The sequence below is a fragment of the Homo sapiens genome, chromosome 19, assembly GCF_000001405.40.
Source record: "Homo sapiens chromosome 19, GRCh38.p14 Primary Assembly".
Classification (NCBI taxonomy): domain Eukaryota; kingdom Metazoa; phylum Chordata; class Mammalia; order Primates; family Hominidae; genus Homo; species Homo sapiens.
Window position 1 is genome coordinate 28668688 of NC_000019.10, and position 14247 is coordinate 28682934.

General features: G+C 36.7%; 1 long non-coding RNA gene and 1 pseudogene across 2 annotated transcripts in view; both read right to left on the minus strand.

The window, feature by feature from the left end:
* The window catches only part of LOC100420587 (SHC binding and spindle associated 1 pseudogene), a 292307-nt pseudogene that overhangs the window by 233300 nt on the left and 44760 nt on the right, over positions 1-14247 (minus strand). The gene's annotated exons all lie outside the window — the stretch shown is intronic.
* Positions 12098-14222, minus strand: LOC124904679 (uncharacterized). The gene is made up of 2 exons (XR_007067211.1): positions 13974-14222; positions 12098-13159 (listed from the first exon to the last, which is right to left on the minus strand). It is a non-coding gene; the product is annotated as an uncharacterized LOC124904679 (long non-coding RNA).

Consider the following 14247-nt stretch of genomic DNA (forward strand, 5'->3'; position numbering starts at 1 on the left):
TCTTAAGAAATTAAATGGTAATTTTTAAAAAGCCACACCCGAAGAAAAAAACACACACACACAAAAACAAAAACACCAGTGTAGTAACATAGATATGACAAGGCCTGAGTGACTTTTGAGATTAAAAGTGAAACATTTCTTAGAAAATGATGATTGACTTGATGCCTTAGACTCTCCAGCACAATTGCTGGCCTGTGGCCTCACTGCGGCTGTGTTCTCGAGCTTGGGTCCTTTCTGACTCACCCGTAGACCACAGTGACGCCTCCTAATTAAGACTTTACCTCTTCTTCTCGCCCTGCCAAGTCACTGTGCACCCAATAAAGTCTCTTTAGAATACTTTCAACGTCATTGCCTTGTGTTCAATGTATTTTGCATCGTATTCAACACTCTCTGTAGCCCAATCTCAAACTAACTCTCCGCTCTCTCTCTTACTGCTTCACTACACATACCATACTGTGGCCAGACAACTCTCCAAGGGAAGACCTCTGCTTAAATGGCAGAGTGAAGTGTTTCCTAAAGTCCTCTAAAATTCTCTCTGTCCTCCCAATCCCCTTCCTAAAAATCTGTGGTCAAGTTAAGAAATGTTGCTTGGTAATCCTTGATCTAGTTTCCTCACAGTTGTTACATTATTGCCTGGTGGCCATATTTGCAGAAAGCCCAGAACTCTGAATATTTAGAGTTGGGTGAATTTTTTTTTCCTGACCTCTCCCACCTACTAGTCATATGATCTTGAACATGTGAAAACTCATCTGTGAATATTTTCTCATGTAAAAAATGGGAGTAATACAGCTTTGCCTATATGCTTAGAGTCTACTTCAGAAGCGTTCCTTAATGTCTAAGTCTCTTAAAATTCTTATGAGAATGTCTGAGCATTCCCCAGTGGCATATCTGGACAGTGCTCTGTAGAAGGCATTCTACTGGGTGTGTGGGAGAGTGAAAGATACGTAAGATCTAGCTCCTGTTCCAATGAACCTTTGTAGGTGAGGAGACTCCTACCAAAAAAGTCTGTACTACTGCACATTAATAGTCAAATGATAAACTATGATGTACAGAGAAAAGAGAAGGCACTGTAGACTGGGTGGTAGGGGGATCAGCTCATCCTGGTCTGTCTGGGACTTCCCTTGTGTTAGCACTGAAAGTTCCATGTCCTAGGAAACCCTTCAGTTGTGGGCAAACCAGGAGGGCCGATCACCCTACAATGGTTAAGGAAGGCTTGGCAGTGATTGGAGTGTGTCTCAGAGGGGCATTTTAGGTGGTAGGAAACACACAAATTGCCTCTCTACTAAACAAACATACACCCACCCTATGACTCAGCAATTCTAGCGATATAACTGTGAGAGATAAGTTCATGGCAGCATTATTTATAATAGCCCCACTGCAACCAAGCAGATGTCCACCAATAGGAGAAGGGATATATAATTGTGCATTTATAGACTGGACTATTAAATACAACACAGGTGAATTTCTCAGGTATAGTGTTGAGTGAAAGAAGCCAGACTTATGAAAATCAGAATCTGTATGACTTCTTCCATATGACAGAAGAGAGAATAATTAGGAGCTATTGATTACAAGGGGACACAAGGGAGATTTGGTGTGCTAGAGAGGTTCTATGCCATGATCTGGGTGGTGGTTACATGGGTGTGTGTATATATATATAAGTTAATCAAGCTGTTTACTTAAAATTTGTGCATTTTATTGCATGTATTATTCCTCAAAAAAAAATTTTAAGCTGCCATTTATTAAGCCTATGTGCTCTGCACAGTGTTAAACATTTTTATCCTCACAATCCTGTGAGGTGTAGACATTGGCCATTTTATAGATTAGGCCCAGAAAAGGAAAAAGAAAATTTCTCATGACCAAGTGTTTCTCAAAAAGTGTTTCAAGGAATAGCAGTTCTGCAGGTGTTATCTGAAAAAAAAAAAAAAGAAAAGAAAAAAAAAAAAGGCTTGTGTTCAACTATGTTTGGGGAACTCTGGGAGTAAAAGGGTTAAATGTACCTTTTTACTGCAGGATTAATATGCCAATGTGCATACCTGATCTCTTTTGTAAAGCCTCCAAGGTGTAGTAAATACTACAGAGAAATACCTGTAGACCAACATTTACATTTTGAGAAAATGATTTAGCCTTATATTGTCAATATTTGCTTTAATATTCTGAGATTTTTGCCCTATGACATTATGCAGTTAATTTTATAGTATAAGCGCTGCACTCATCTAACATTACCAGCTCATATCAGCCCCTCCTCCAGAAAAGCTTTTAGGTGATACTGTTCTTCCCTCATCACAGCATAATGCCATCAGCAAATTAGTTATTACATTTCACAGAGCCTAGTGGAAACCTCTCCTGCCAATTACTGAGTAGTCAATTACATTCTGGACATATGCATTTTACACTGATTAAAAAAAGAATTACAGCCGTTGATTTTGCTTTTCAAATTAAGAGATAACATCTATGTAATATAGAATTACAGTGACTTGACTCAATAAAATAGTGATTTAAAAGAAAAAAAATGGGATTTGGAGAAAAACTGTAACCAACACATTATCCAAAAACAAGGAATAAGAAATGTTGTTAGCCTTTCTAAGCCCCAAAGACTGAAAGACCTCAGGGAACTGTAAGTTCTAACCTAATACTAATACTACCTTGAAAAGCCAAAATGTTAATTTCCTCCAGCACTGGAGAGGATTTGTCTCACTAGAAAATTTTAGATATAAACACCAAGTCAAAAATAATTCTTCAGTGACTCTGAGCATTCTGCCAATGACAACAGATTTAAAATGCATTTTAGAAGCAATGACAGGGAATTAAATAGATTTCTAGTGCTGTAAAGCTGTAAAGCTTAATATTACTTCACAAAGTGTTAAAGTGTCTGATCTTCCCTCAGCTCATTTGGTACCTTGTGAGCACTGAAGAAAAGCTAAGTGCAGGGGCACTTTATTAATGTATTGGAAGCCACATCAATGGTAGTATGCCTAACACCTTCCAAAAAGTTTTGAGAAATCTAAAGTAAAACGGCATGTGAGTTCCTAAAAGCCTTAACGGAAAATATTGTCAGCTATCACCTACAAAGCTGCCTCTAGCTAAAGGCCAGCTATAAATTAGAGATATTTAATTTTGCAGTAACACTCACAAAAAACTACAATGCATTATGCTTCCCCTGAAAATAATGCAAAGATTCTAATTAGTTTTTAATTGCTTGCTAAATTGTTCAGTTTTATTCAAAATGGCCTTTAAAGAGCTATGCACCAAAAATACTTCCAATATTTCTGTGAGAAAGTTGTCAGCCCTCCTAGCCTGAAGGCAGCAGAAATTGAACTCCACAAGTGCACAGGCATGGGGGGCTCACATGATTTTTAGTAAGGGAGGATTTTATTTCAACCACCTGTGACCTCACCAAAACAAACAGGTCTGAGTGCAGAAAACAACTTGATGTAAACAAATGGAATCTGGGTTGCCTGAGATTCTGGGATGTGAATGCGTTCACCTGGAAAAGATAATGTCCTGGGAGGTCACTCTACCCAGACTCCCCTTTATCTAAATATTCTCAAATGTTTCTATGGTCAAACACCAACCATTTTAGTTAAGATTTATACAGAAATGAGCCAGAGAAACTCTTATAAATTTGACCTGGTTACCCACTGGCTACTAACAGAGTCATCCACTTCCTTTGGAAATGGTTCCAATCCTGAAGATTCAAGACAACTTCAGCTTTCAGTCAAGATTGAGTAACAGTTATCAGATTTACCCTCCTGCCTTAAATAACTACAAAAGTGGACAAAATATATGAAGCAATGGTTTTCTGGACATTAGGTATCAGGCAACACAGGACTGTGATACGTAAGAAGGGAAATAGAAAAGGTGAACTCTACAATTATACCAGCTTCCTACCTGAAGGCAGTTTCCAGGCCTTAGTACAGGGAGGGGAAATGAAGCTCAGCTGATTCACCAATTCAGGGAGACAGAGTCAGAGTTCAGAGGACAAGGCAGCCAGAATTTGTAAGGCAGAGCACAGGAGATGAGGGAAATGCAGAGCCAGAGAGCACCAGAAACCTGCAGACGGTCCCCTCAAGGATTACTTGAGTTCCAATCTGTATGGTGTGAGAAGATAATACTCGAGGCTGGGAAAGAGCCACCAGAAAGGAATAAGCAGGAAAAATCTCACTCCTACCAGCCAGAGTGAAAAGACCACATAATACATGAGGGACCAGACAGATTTCTTTAAAATAAAGGGGAATCACATGAGGTATCTAAATAAGTCAAAATCATAGAAACAGAGGTTGGAAGATGGTTGCCGGGATTGTTGAGAGGAGACAGAATTAGTGTCTAAGGGGCATAGAGTTTCAGTTCTGCAAGCTGAAGCTCTGGAAACCTGTTGCACAACAATGTAAATATACTAACATTACTGAACTGTACACATAAAAATAGTTAAGGTGGCAAATTTAACTTTATGAGTTTATAACCACAATTAAAAATAAAATTTAAACATAAATAACAATAAAAATGAATAAAAAGGAAAGGAGGGCCTAAATTAGCCCAAGACTGCTCTGCATGTGCCCAAACGAAGCTTACAAGCAAGCACTGAAAGGATCCAACTAATCCCAAATAACTACTCCACAAAGAAGCCACATTACTTAAAGAAATAAAACCAATCACAGCAATAATATGAAATTCTTCGTATTCATCATCCAGTCAGAAAAAAGACAGCAAAGAAATGGAAAAATATGACCCATATCCAAGAGAAAAAGTAATCAATAGAAACAGAGCCAGAGGCAAGAGAGGTAATAAAAAGGGCAAATAAATATACTAAAATGGCTATTATAAATATATTCAATATGGTCAGGAGAGAAAAACATCATCATGATGAAGAGAGAGAGTAAAAACCATTTAGAAATGAAAAATACAATGTCTGAAATAAAAAATTCACGGAATGGGATTAACAGTGGTGTAAACAGTGCAGAGGAAAAGATGAGCAAACTTGAAAACATGGTACTAGACATTATCCAGAAAGAAAAAAACGACAGAATGAATAAAGCACCAGTGACATGTGGGATAAAATGAAAGAAGTAACATGCATGCAATTACAGTCAAGGAAGTAGAAAAAAGAGAAGGTGGAATAGAATAAAAATATGAAGAAATAAACTCATATGATGAAGTACAATAAACTCCTTGCAGAATAAAAATGAAGAAAACCACACAAAGACACGATAATGAAATGTTAACCAGTAATAAAATGAAAATCTGAAAAAACATCCAAGAGAAAAAGATACATGACAGCAGCATTGTCAGAAATTATGCGAGCCAAATGACAGTGGAGGAACATCCTTAAAGTACTGAAATAAACTGTCGATTCAGGATTCCCTACCCAGCGAAAGTCATCTTTCAAAATTAAAGACATTTTTCAAATTAAAGCTGGGAGAATTCAGTTGTCAGCAAAACTTAAGCAAAAGAAATGAATAAGATACTAAACAGAAATTTGAGCCTTTACCAAAGAGAAAAGAGCACTGGAAGTGGTCATTATATTAACACTATTAAAAAATTTTAAATCTTTTTAAAGGATAATAGTTTCAAACAAAAATAACAACAACATCTTGAGAAGTTTATAAACATATGTAAAGAGTACAATGTATGACAACAGCACAAACGATAGGTGGGAAATGGACCTTACACAGAAGGGGATAAAATATTATTTGCAGGTAGTACGTGCATGTTGTAAACCCTGAAGCGGGGTCAGCAAACTCTGGCACAGGCTAAATCCAGCCTGTTATTTTTGTATAGTTCAGAAGCTAAGAATGGTTTTTGCATTTTGGAAGAGGTGAGAGGGAAAGGAAACGTGAAAGCATCTACGTCACACAAAATCTAAAATATTTGCTACCTGGTTCTTTACAAAAAAGTTGCTAAGCCCTGTCCTAGAATAAAATTTCTCTACCTTGGTGCTACTGACATTTTGAGCCAGATAATCCCTTGTTGTGGGGGTTGTCCTGTGCACTGTAAGGTGTTTAGTGGGACTCCTGGCCTCTACCCAATAGATGCCATGAACACCCACCCCCAGTAGTGACAAATTCAAATATGTATCCAGACACTGACAAACGTCCTGGGGGTGAGAGAGAAATCTGACTGCAGTTGAGAACTACTGCACTAGAGTACATCTATTTTTTTTTTTTTTTAAATAAAAAAGAGGTAGAGCTGGGCCAGCCATGGTGGCTCACGCCTGTAATCCTAGCACTTCTGGAGGCCAAGCAGGGTGGATCACCTGAGGTCAGGAGTTCAAGACAAGCCTGGTCAACATGGTAAAACTCCGTCTCTACTAAAAATACAAAAATTAGCTGGGCATGGTGGCACTTGCCTGTAGTTCCAGCTACTTGGGATGATGAGGCAGGAGAATCACTTGAAACCAGGAGGTAGAGGTTGCGGTGAGCAGAGATTGCGCCACTGTACTTCAGCCTGGGTGACACAGTGACACTCCATCTCAAAAAAATAAACAAATAAATAAATAAAGGTAGAGCTGATAAGCCAATAGTAGAAATAAAATGAATTCTTCAAAAAAAATTTTTAAACTCTCATTCCAAAAGAAGTCAGAAAAAGAAAAAAGATTTTTCAGATAAGGCATAAGTATAAACCACAGAAAAAATATTGATAAATTAGACTTGATCAAAATTTAAACTTCTGCTCCTCAAAAGACACTGCTAAAAAAATTAAAAACCAAGCCACGGACAGAAGGAAAATATCTGCAAAACACACATTTGATAAAGTACTAGCTTTCTCCCACCGCCCAAAAAAAAAAAAAAAAATATATATATATATATATGTATGTATGTATGTATGTATGTATATGACTCAAGACAACCTGATTTGGAGACAATATAAAAAGAAGGCAAATATGCACATGAAAATATATTAAACATCATTAATAAGAGAAATCCAAATTAAAACCAAAATGAACTACCACGACACATCCACAGAACACTGAAGATTTAAGAGACGGACAATAACAAGTGCTGACAAAGATGAGGAGCAACTAGAACTCTCAGGCATGGCTGGTAAGACTACAAAATGGGACAATCACTTTGGAAAACAATTTGAAACTTTACAATGAAATAAATGTGCACTCACTATATAGCCCAGCAATCTCATAGGTATTTGCCCCAAGAGAAATGAAATATATGTTAAGGCAAAAATTGTTGCCCAAATATTCTTAGCAACTTTATCCATGATAATCAAAGAGCATGAACAACCCAAGTGGTCCATCAACTGGTAAATGAATAAATAGAAAGAAACAAACTACTGATACAAGAAACAACAGATGAATTCATCTTAAGGGCATTATGCAAAGTGTAAGAGCAACAGCAAAGACTATATACTGACTCATTTCTTTTCTATGTAATTCAAGAATAGGCAAAACTATAGTGACAGAAAGCACATCAGTGGTTGCCAGGTCGAACTATGGGCAGAGGAACTTGCCTGCAAAAGAAAATGAGGGGACTTTTGGAGGTGATACAAACATTCAATATTATGATTGTCATAGTTACACAACTGCATATATTTGTCAAGACCCAGAGAATCATTTAAAATTGGTGATATTTTTATTGTATCAAAAAAGATGATATAAGCTGATTTAAAACAAAAATAGCCAGGAAGCCTTTAGAAATAAGAATGGAGTAAGAGTGAGACTACATTTTCCCCTAGTCATTAGTAGGAAAAACAACTTGCTACAATTCAGGATGTCCGGGAAATAGTCCTTCTGGTCAAATTTGGTAGGGTGCTAGTGCTTTGGGTCCTTGTACAAGAATATACATTTAACTAAAATACTGGTTGAGAGTATTTAGGCCACAGGGTTAACAGTAGGCACACATGGGAATTTAGTATTATTCCCAGTAAACGGGGAAAGAATCAACTCTTCAATAGACAGTATCAAGAGAACTCCTGAGGCATTTAGAGAAAAACAGTTCCATATCATACAGTACACAAAATCAAATTACAGATGGAATACAAATGTAAATTTAAACAAGATTATAAAGTCACTAGAAGATAATATTAAATTTTTAAAATCTTGTGATAGATAAGGCCTATGTAAACAAGTCACAAGACCCAGAAGAGTAGATCTGACTACAATTAAAACTTAAATAAAATACCGTAAACCAAGTTCACAAGCTCAGACAGCCCAAAAGATACTTCATACATGAAAGTATAAACATTTCTATAAATATGAGTATAGGTTACTTATAAATATACTTATATATATATGATGCATTTGTTTAAATACTAAACGATTAAAAGCCACACTGTATACAATACCTATAAATCAGGAGAAGAAATGGATAAATTCCTCGACACATACACTCTCCCAAGACTAAACCAGGAAGAAGTTGAATCTCTGAATAGACCAATAACAGGAGCTGAAATTGTGGCAATAATCAATAGCTTACCAACCAAAAAGAGTCCAGGACCAGATGGATTCACAGCCGAATTCTACCAGAGGTACAAGGAGGAACTGGTACCATTCCTTCTGAAACTATTCCAATCAATAGAATAAGAGGGAATCCTGCCTAACTCATTTTATGAGGCCAGCATCATCCTGATACCAAAGCCGGGCACAGACACAACCAAAAAAGAGAATTTTAGACCAATATCCTTGATGAACATTGATGCAAAAATCCTCAATAAAATACTGGCAAACTGAATCCAGCAGCACATTGAAAAGCTTATCCACCATGATCAAGTGGGCTTCATCCCTGGGATGCAAGGCTGGTTCAATATACCCAAATCAATAAATGCAACCCAGCATATAAACAGAACCAAAGACAAAAACCACATGATTATCTCAATAGATGCAGAAAAGGCCTTTGACAAAATTCAACAACGCTTCATGCTAAAAACTCTCAATAAATTAGGTATTGAAGGGACGTATTTCAAAATAATAAGAGCTATCTATGACAAACCCACAGCCAATATCATAATGAATGGGCAAAAACTGGAAGCATTCCTTTTGAAAACTGGCACAAGACAGGGATGCCCTCTCTCACCACTCCTATTCAACATAGTGTTGGAAGTTCTGGCCAGGGCAATTAGGCAGGACAAGGAAATAAAGGGTATTCAATTAGGAAAAGAGGAAGTCAAATTGTCCCTGTTTGCAGATGACATGATTTTATATCTAGAAAACCCCATTGTCTCAGCCCAAAATCTCCTTAAGCTGATAAGCAACTTCAGCAAAGTCTCAGGATACAAAATCAACGTACAAAAATCACAAGCATTCTTATACACCAACAACAGACAAACAGAGAGCCAAATAATGAGTGAGCTCCCATTCACAATTGCTTCAAAGATAATAAAATACCTAGGAATCCAACTTACAAGGGATGTGAAGGACCTCTTCAAGGAGAACTACAAACCAATGCTCAAGGAAACAAAAGAGGATACAAACAAATGGAAGAACATTCCATGCTCATGGGTAGGAAGAATCAATATTGTGAAAATGGCCATACTGCCCAAGGTAATTTATAGATTCAATGCCATCCCCATCAAGCTACCAATGACTTTCTTCACAGAATTGGAAAAAACTACTTTAAAGTTCATATGGAACCAAAAAAGAGCCCACATCGCCAAGTCAATCCTAAGCCAAAAGAACAAAGCTGGAGGCATCACACTACCTGACTTCAAACTATACTACAAGGCTACAGTAACCAAAACAGCATGGTACTGGTACCAAAACAGAGATATAGATCAATGGAACAGAACAGAGCCCTCAGAAATAATGACGCATATCTACAACTATCTGATCTTTGACAAACCTGAGAAAAACAAGCAATGGGGAAAGGATTCCCTATTTAATAAATGGTGCTGGGAAAACTGGCTAGCCATATGTAGAAAGCTGAAACTGGATCCCTTCCTTACATCTTATACAAAAATCAATTCAAGATGGATTAAAGACTTAAATGTTAGACCTAAAACCATAAAAACCTCAGAAGAAAACCTAGGCATTACCATTCAGGACATAGGCATGGGCAAGGACTTCATGTCTAAAACACCAAAAGCAATGCCAACAAAAGCCAAAATTGACAAATGGGATCTAATTAAACTAAAGAGCTTCTGCACAGCAAAAGAATCTACCATCAGAGCGAACAGGCAACCTACAAAATGGGAGAAAATTTTCGCAACCTACTCATCTGACAAAGGGCTAATATCCAGAATCTACAATGAACTCCAACAAATTTATAAGAAAAAAAACAACCCCATCAAAAAGTGGGCGAAGGACATGAACAGACACTTCTCAAAAGAAGACATTTATGCAGCCAAAAAACACATGAAAAAATACTCACCATCACTGGCCATCAGAGAAATGCAAATCAAAACCACAATGAGATACCATCTCACACCAGTTAGAATGGCAATCATTAAAAAGTCAGGAAACAACAGGTGCTGGAGAGGATGTGGAGAAATAGGAACACTTTTACACTGTTGGTGGGACTGTAAACTAGTTCAACCTTTGTGGAAGTCAGTGTGGCGATTCCTCAGGGATCTAGAACTAGAAATACCATTTGACCCAGCCATCCCATTACTGGGTATATACCCAAAGGATTATAAATCATGCTGCTATAAAGACACATGCACACGTATGTTTATTGTGGCATTATTCACAATAGCAAAGACTTGCAACCAACCCAAATGTCCAACAATGATAGACTGGATTAAGAAAATGTGGCACATATACACCATGGAATACTATGCAGCCATAAAAAATGATGAGTTCATGTCCTTTGTAGGCACATGGATGAAATTGGAAATCATCATTCTCAGTAAACTATCGCAAGAACAAAAAACCAAACACCACATATTCTCACTCATAGGTGGGAATTGAACAATGAGAACACATGGACACAGGAAGGGGAACATCACACTCTGGGGACTGTTGTGGGGTGGGGGGAGGGGGGAGGGATAGCATTGGGAGATATACTTAATGCTAGATGATGAGTTAGTGGGTGCAGCACACCAGCATGGCACATGTATACATATGTAACTAACCTGCACATTGTGCACATGTACCCTAAAACTTAAAGTATAATTAAAAAAAAAAAAAAACCTCAAATCCAATAGAACAGGCAAAAGATGAACTGGCAATTTTCAGAAAAATAAACCTGTGAAAATATAGTAAATGATGAGATAATCAAATCAAATAACAGTAATCAAATAAATACAAATTACAATGTTTTTTTCATTCATCAGAGAAGCATTTTTTAAAATTATTAATATTCAGTGTTATGAAAGCATGTCAAACTGTCACTCCCATATACTGTGGGTAGGAGTATAAACCAGTGCTCTGTTGTTCAAGACACTCTGGCAAAAGCTATCAAAATTTTAAATCCACAACCCTCAATCCAAAAGTCTTCATCCAATAATCTAAACATAGACTATCTTAGAGAAGACACAAAGTGTTGCATTTTGAATCCTTTTTATGTATCTATTTGTAATAATGAAAAACTGGAAATTTGAATACCCATCAATACTGGGGAATAGGTTAAGTAATGACTCATCCATCCACAGCAGACATAGATGTTTTTGCCTGCAAAGCAGTTCTTCCATCTTCTTCTAGCAACAGAACCGCCCCCTTTCCCCTAGAAACTGCCCTTCCATCACCTGGGAGGTATCATTCATGAGGCTCTACCCACTCTCTATCAGGACAGAAATGTGATTTAATGGGAACAGATGACTTCATTTCTCTGGTTGTATAGTGAGTGGTCAAAAAACAAGCGGAAAATATGACCCAAGCAGATGCTAGAAGAAAGGAGTCTCTCTCTCCGAGTCCATAAAAACTGGGGCCATCTTTGGCACCACGTCGAACAAAGCCAACCTGAGAGTGACAGCCACACCAGAAAAGGCAGAACTAAAAAGATGGATCCACCAACCATGCCTAAAATCAGCTCTTGTCCTCAGACTTCCTAGTTCCAGGACCAAACCTCATAAGGCCTGCTTGAGCTGAGTTTCTGTAACTTATAACTGAAAGAATTCTGGCAATGGAGTAGAACACAAATACACAGGGATGAGGTGGATCTGTATGTACAGACATAATTTTCCACAAGGTGTTAAGGGAAAACAGCAATAGCAATTTTCAGAGCATTATTATATTATGCCTGGTTTGTTGTTTTTAAAAGATATACATTTTTCTGTTAATAGTGAGCGCTGGCAAAAGAGGAGAATATTCATTTTAACACTAACACATAAAAGACCTTGAAAAATATTATTTATACACATTTTTTAAAATCACACAATAAAATAAAACATCATGCATAAAATTTGCATCAAAGCCCAGTCATCAAATTTACCTTAATTTCCAAAGAAGCCCATGGAATATTTTTCCTAGAAAGGAGAAGAAATAGCAGCAGCAAACTGAATTATAAAGAAACAAAAGTGGTATTGCTCCCATGAGGTCATCAGTGTTTGATATATAACTTTCTTCATCTCCCTCTGGAAAGCCAAATCCAGAAAATAAATATTTCAACATCCTTCTACAACTCCAGGAAAGGGAGATATACTTGAGGTCAAATGATCTCTGGGCAGTTTTTAAAAATATATTCATGTTTACATCTATGTTGCAATGACAGACCAAGAAACCTAGGAAAGGTGATACTTGTGAAGCTCAAATGTAGTCAATTAACATACAGAATTTTGCTACCTGCCATATTCAGGTTACACTAAGGGAAGACCAGAAGGACAGGACACAGGGTAACTCAATCAACACAGAAGACTATCCTTTTTCCACATCAGTGTTTTCATCTAAAATGCCAAATCCATACCACTCCAGGGTGCTCTCAGTACTCCCTACACTGTGCTGAGATGTGTGACTCCCCATGACTGAGAAAAAAATCTACTCTCTGTAACTTAAACAAGAACGCATAAGGCCTATTCACTAATAACTAATTATGTGAATAAAAATTAATATTAGCTTAGATTTAAACTAAAATCAAAATAAACTCTGAAAAACTATCATGCTATAAACAGGAACAAGGATGGTATTAACTTCACTGACCTATCTGTGTATTGTCTTGACATTCTAGAAAGGTACAAAAGAATATATAAAATCTAAACTCCAAGATAAAGTGAAAATTCAATTGAAAAACCAACATGATTCTTTAAGATGAATAAATGGCTTTATCTTGAGGCATCATATCTAGAGGGAAAAAGAAAAAAGAATAAATGGTTTTTAAGTCAATATTTGACTGAAGCTGATGCAGAATTAATCAGTATTACATTTTAAAACTCTTTGCAACAGGATTTTTAAAAAGAAGTAAAAAAGAAACCTTTCAATGATCAAACAATAAATCTAACATATATCCTTCTACATTTAGTAGCATCTTAAAAATAAGAGTTTTTTTTTTTCAAATTTAAGAAACAAATATAACCACACTTAGGGAAAAAAAAATAATACTCTTTCTGAAACACCAAAAAGATAAAATACTGTGGGTTCTTAAGATAATTACATATGCCACACTGGCACTATGGTCCATAATGGGTTTGAAAAAATAACAAGATTTGATTTTATTATTTCATCACTATAATCTTAATCATTAGGCATATTAATGTCACGTATACTTTTTTAATATTTATTTTTAAAAGCTATGTCTCAACAATATGACACCAAAAACACACAGCTGATACAGGTTGTATAGGTAATCATTTTGACTGTGAAAAAATATGATCAGAATACTGTTACAATAAAGGAAAAATACCTTCTTTTTAATCATTCTCATTCAGCAACAGTAAAAATGCTCTATGTACACGGTGGCTCTGAAGGACACATTTCATCTCTTTTTCAGACCTGCTGTGCTATCTATTGCTGTTTTGGTGATTACACAGTTCAATATGAAAATGCGTCCCATTCAGATTCTCAATAGTAAGTCTGATTAGGCAGATAACTTTCCAATCATAAAAGCTTTTATTTTAGGACAACCATTATGCAAATCTAGGGTGGAAATCGGACTCACTGTAATTGGGATAAGAAGACACTCTGAGAAGAAGGCTGTACATGTGACACTGCATTTGGTGCACTCGTCTTGCATTCTCTTCCTTTCTTCCTCCTCTTTGAAGCCCCAGATTAAAGTATAATTACACTAGAGAGTTACAAATGGGCTTATTAGAAGAGAACTATATGTTTAAGACAGCAAGGCTTTCAGATAAGAAATCTCCAAATATTTTCTGTTATATGTTTTTACAGTCTTTCTTATAAAGAAGGAGTGTTTGATGCGCAACACCTGCTAA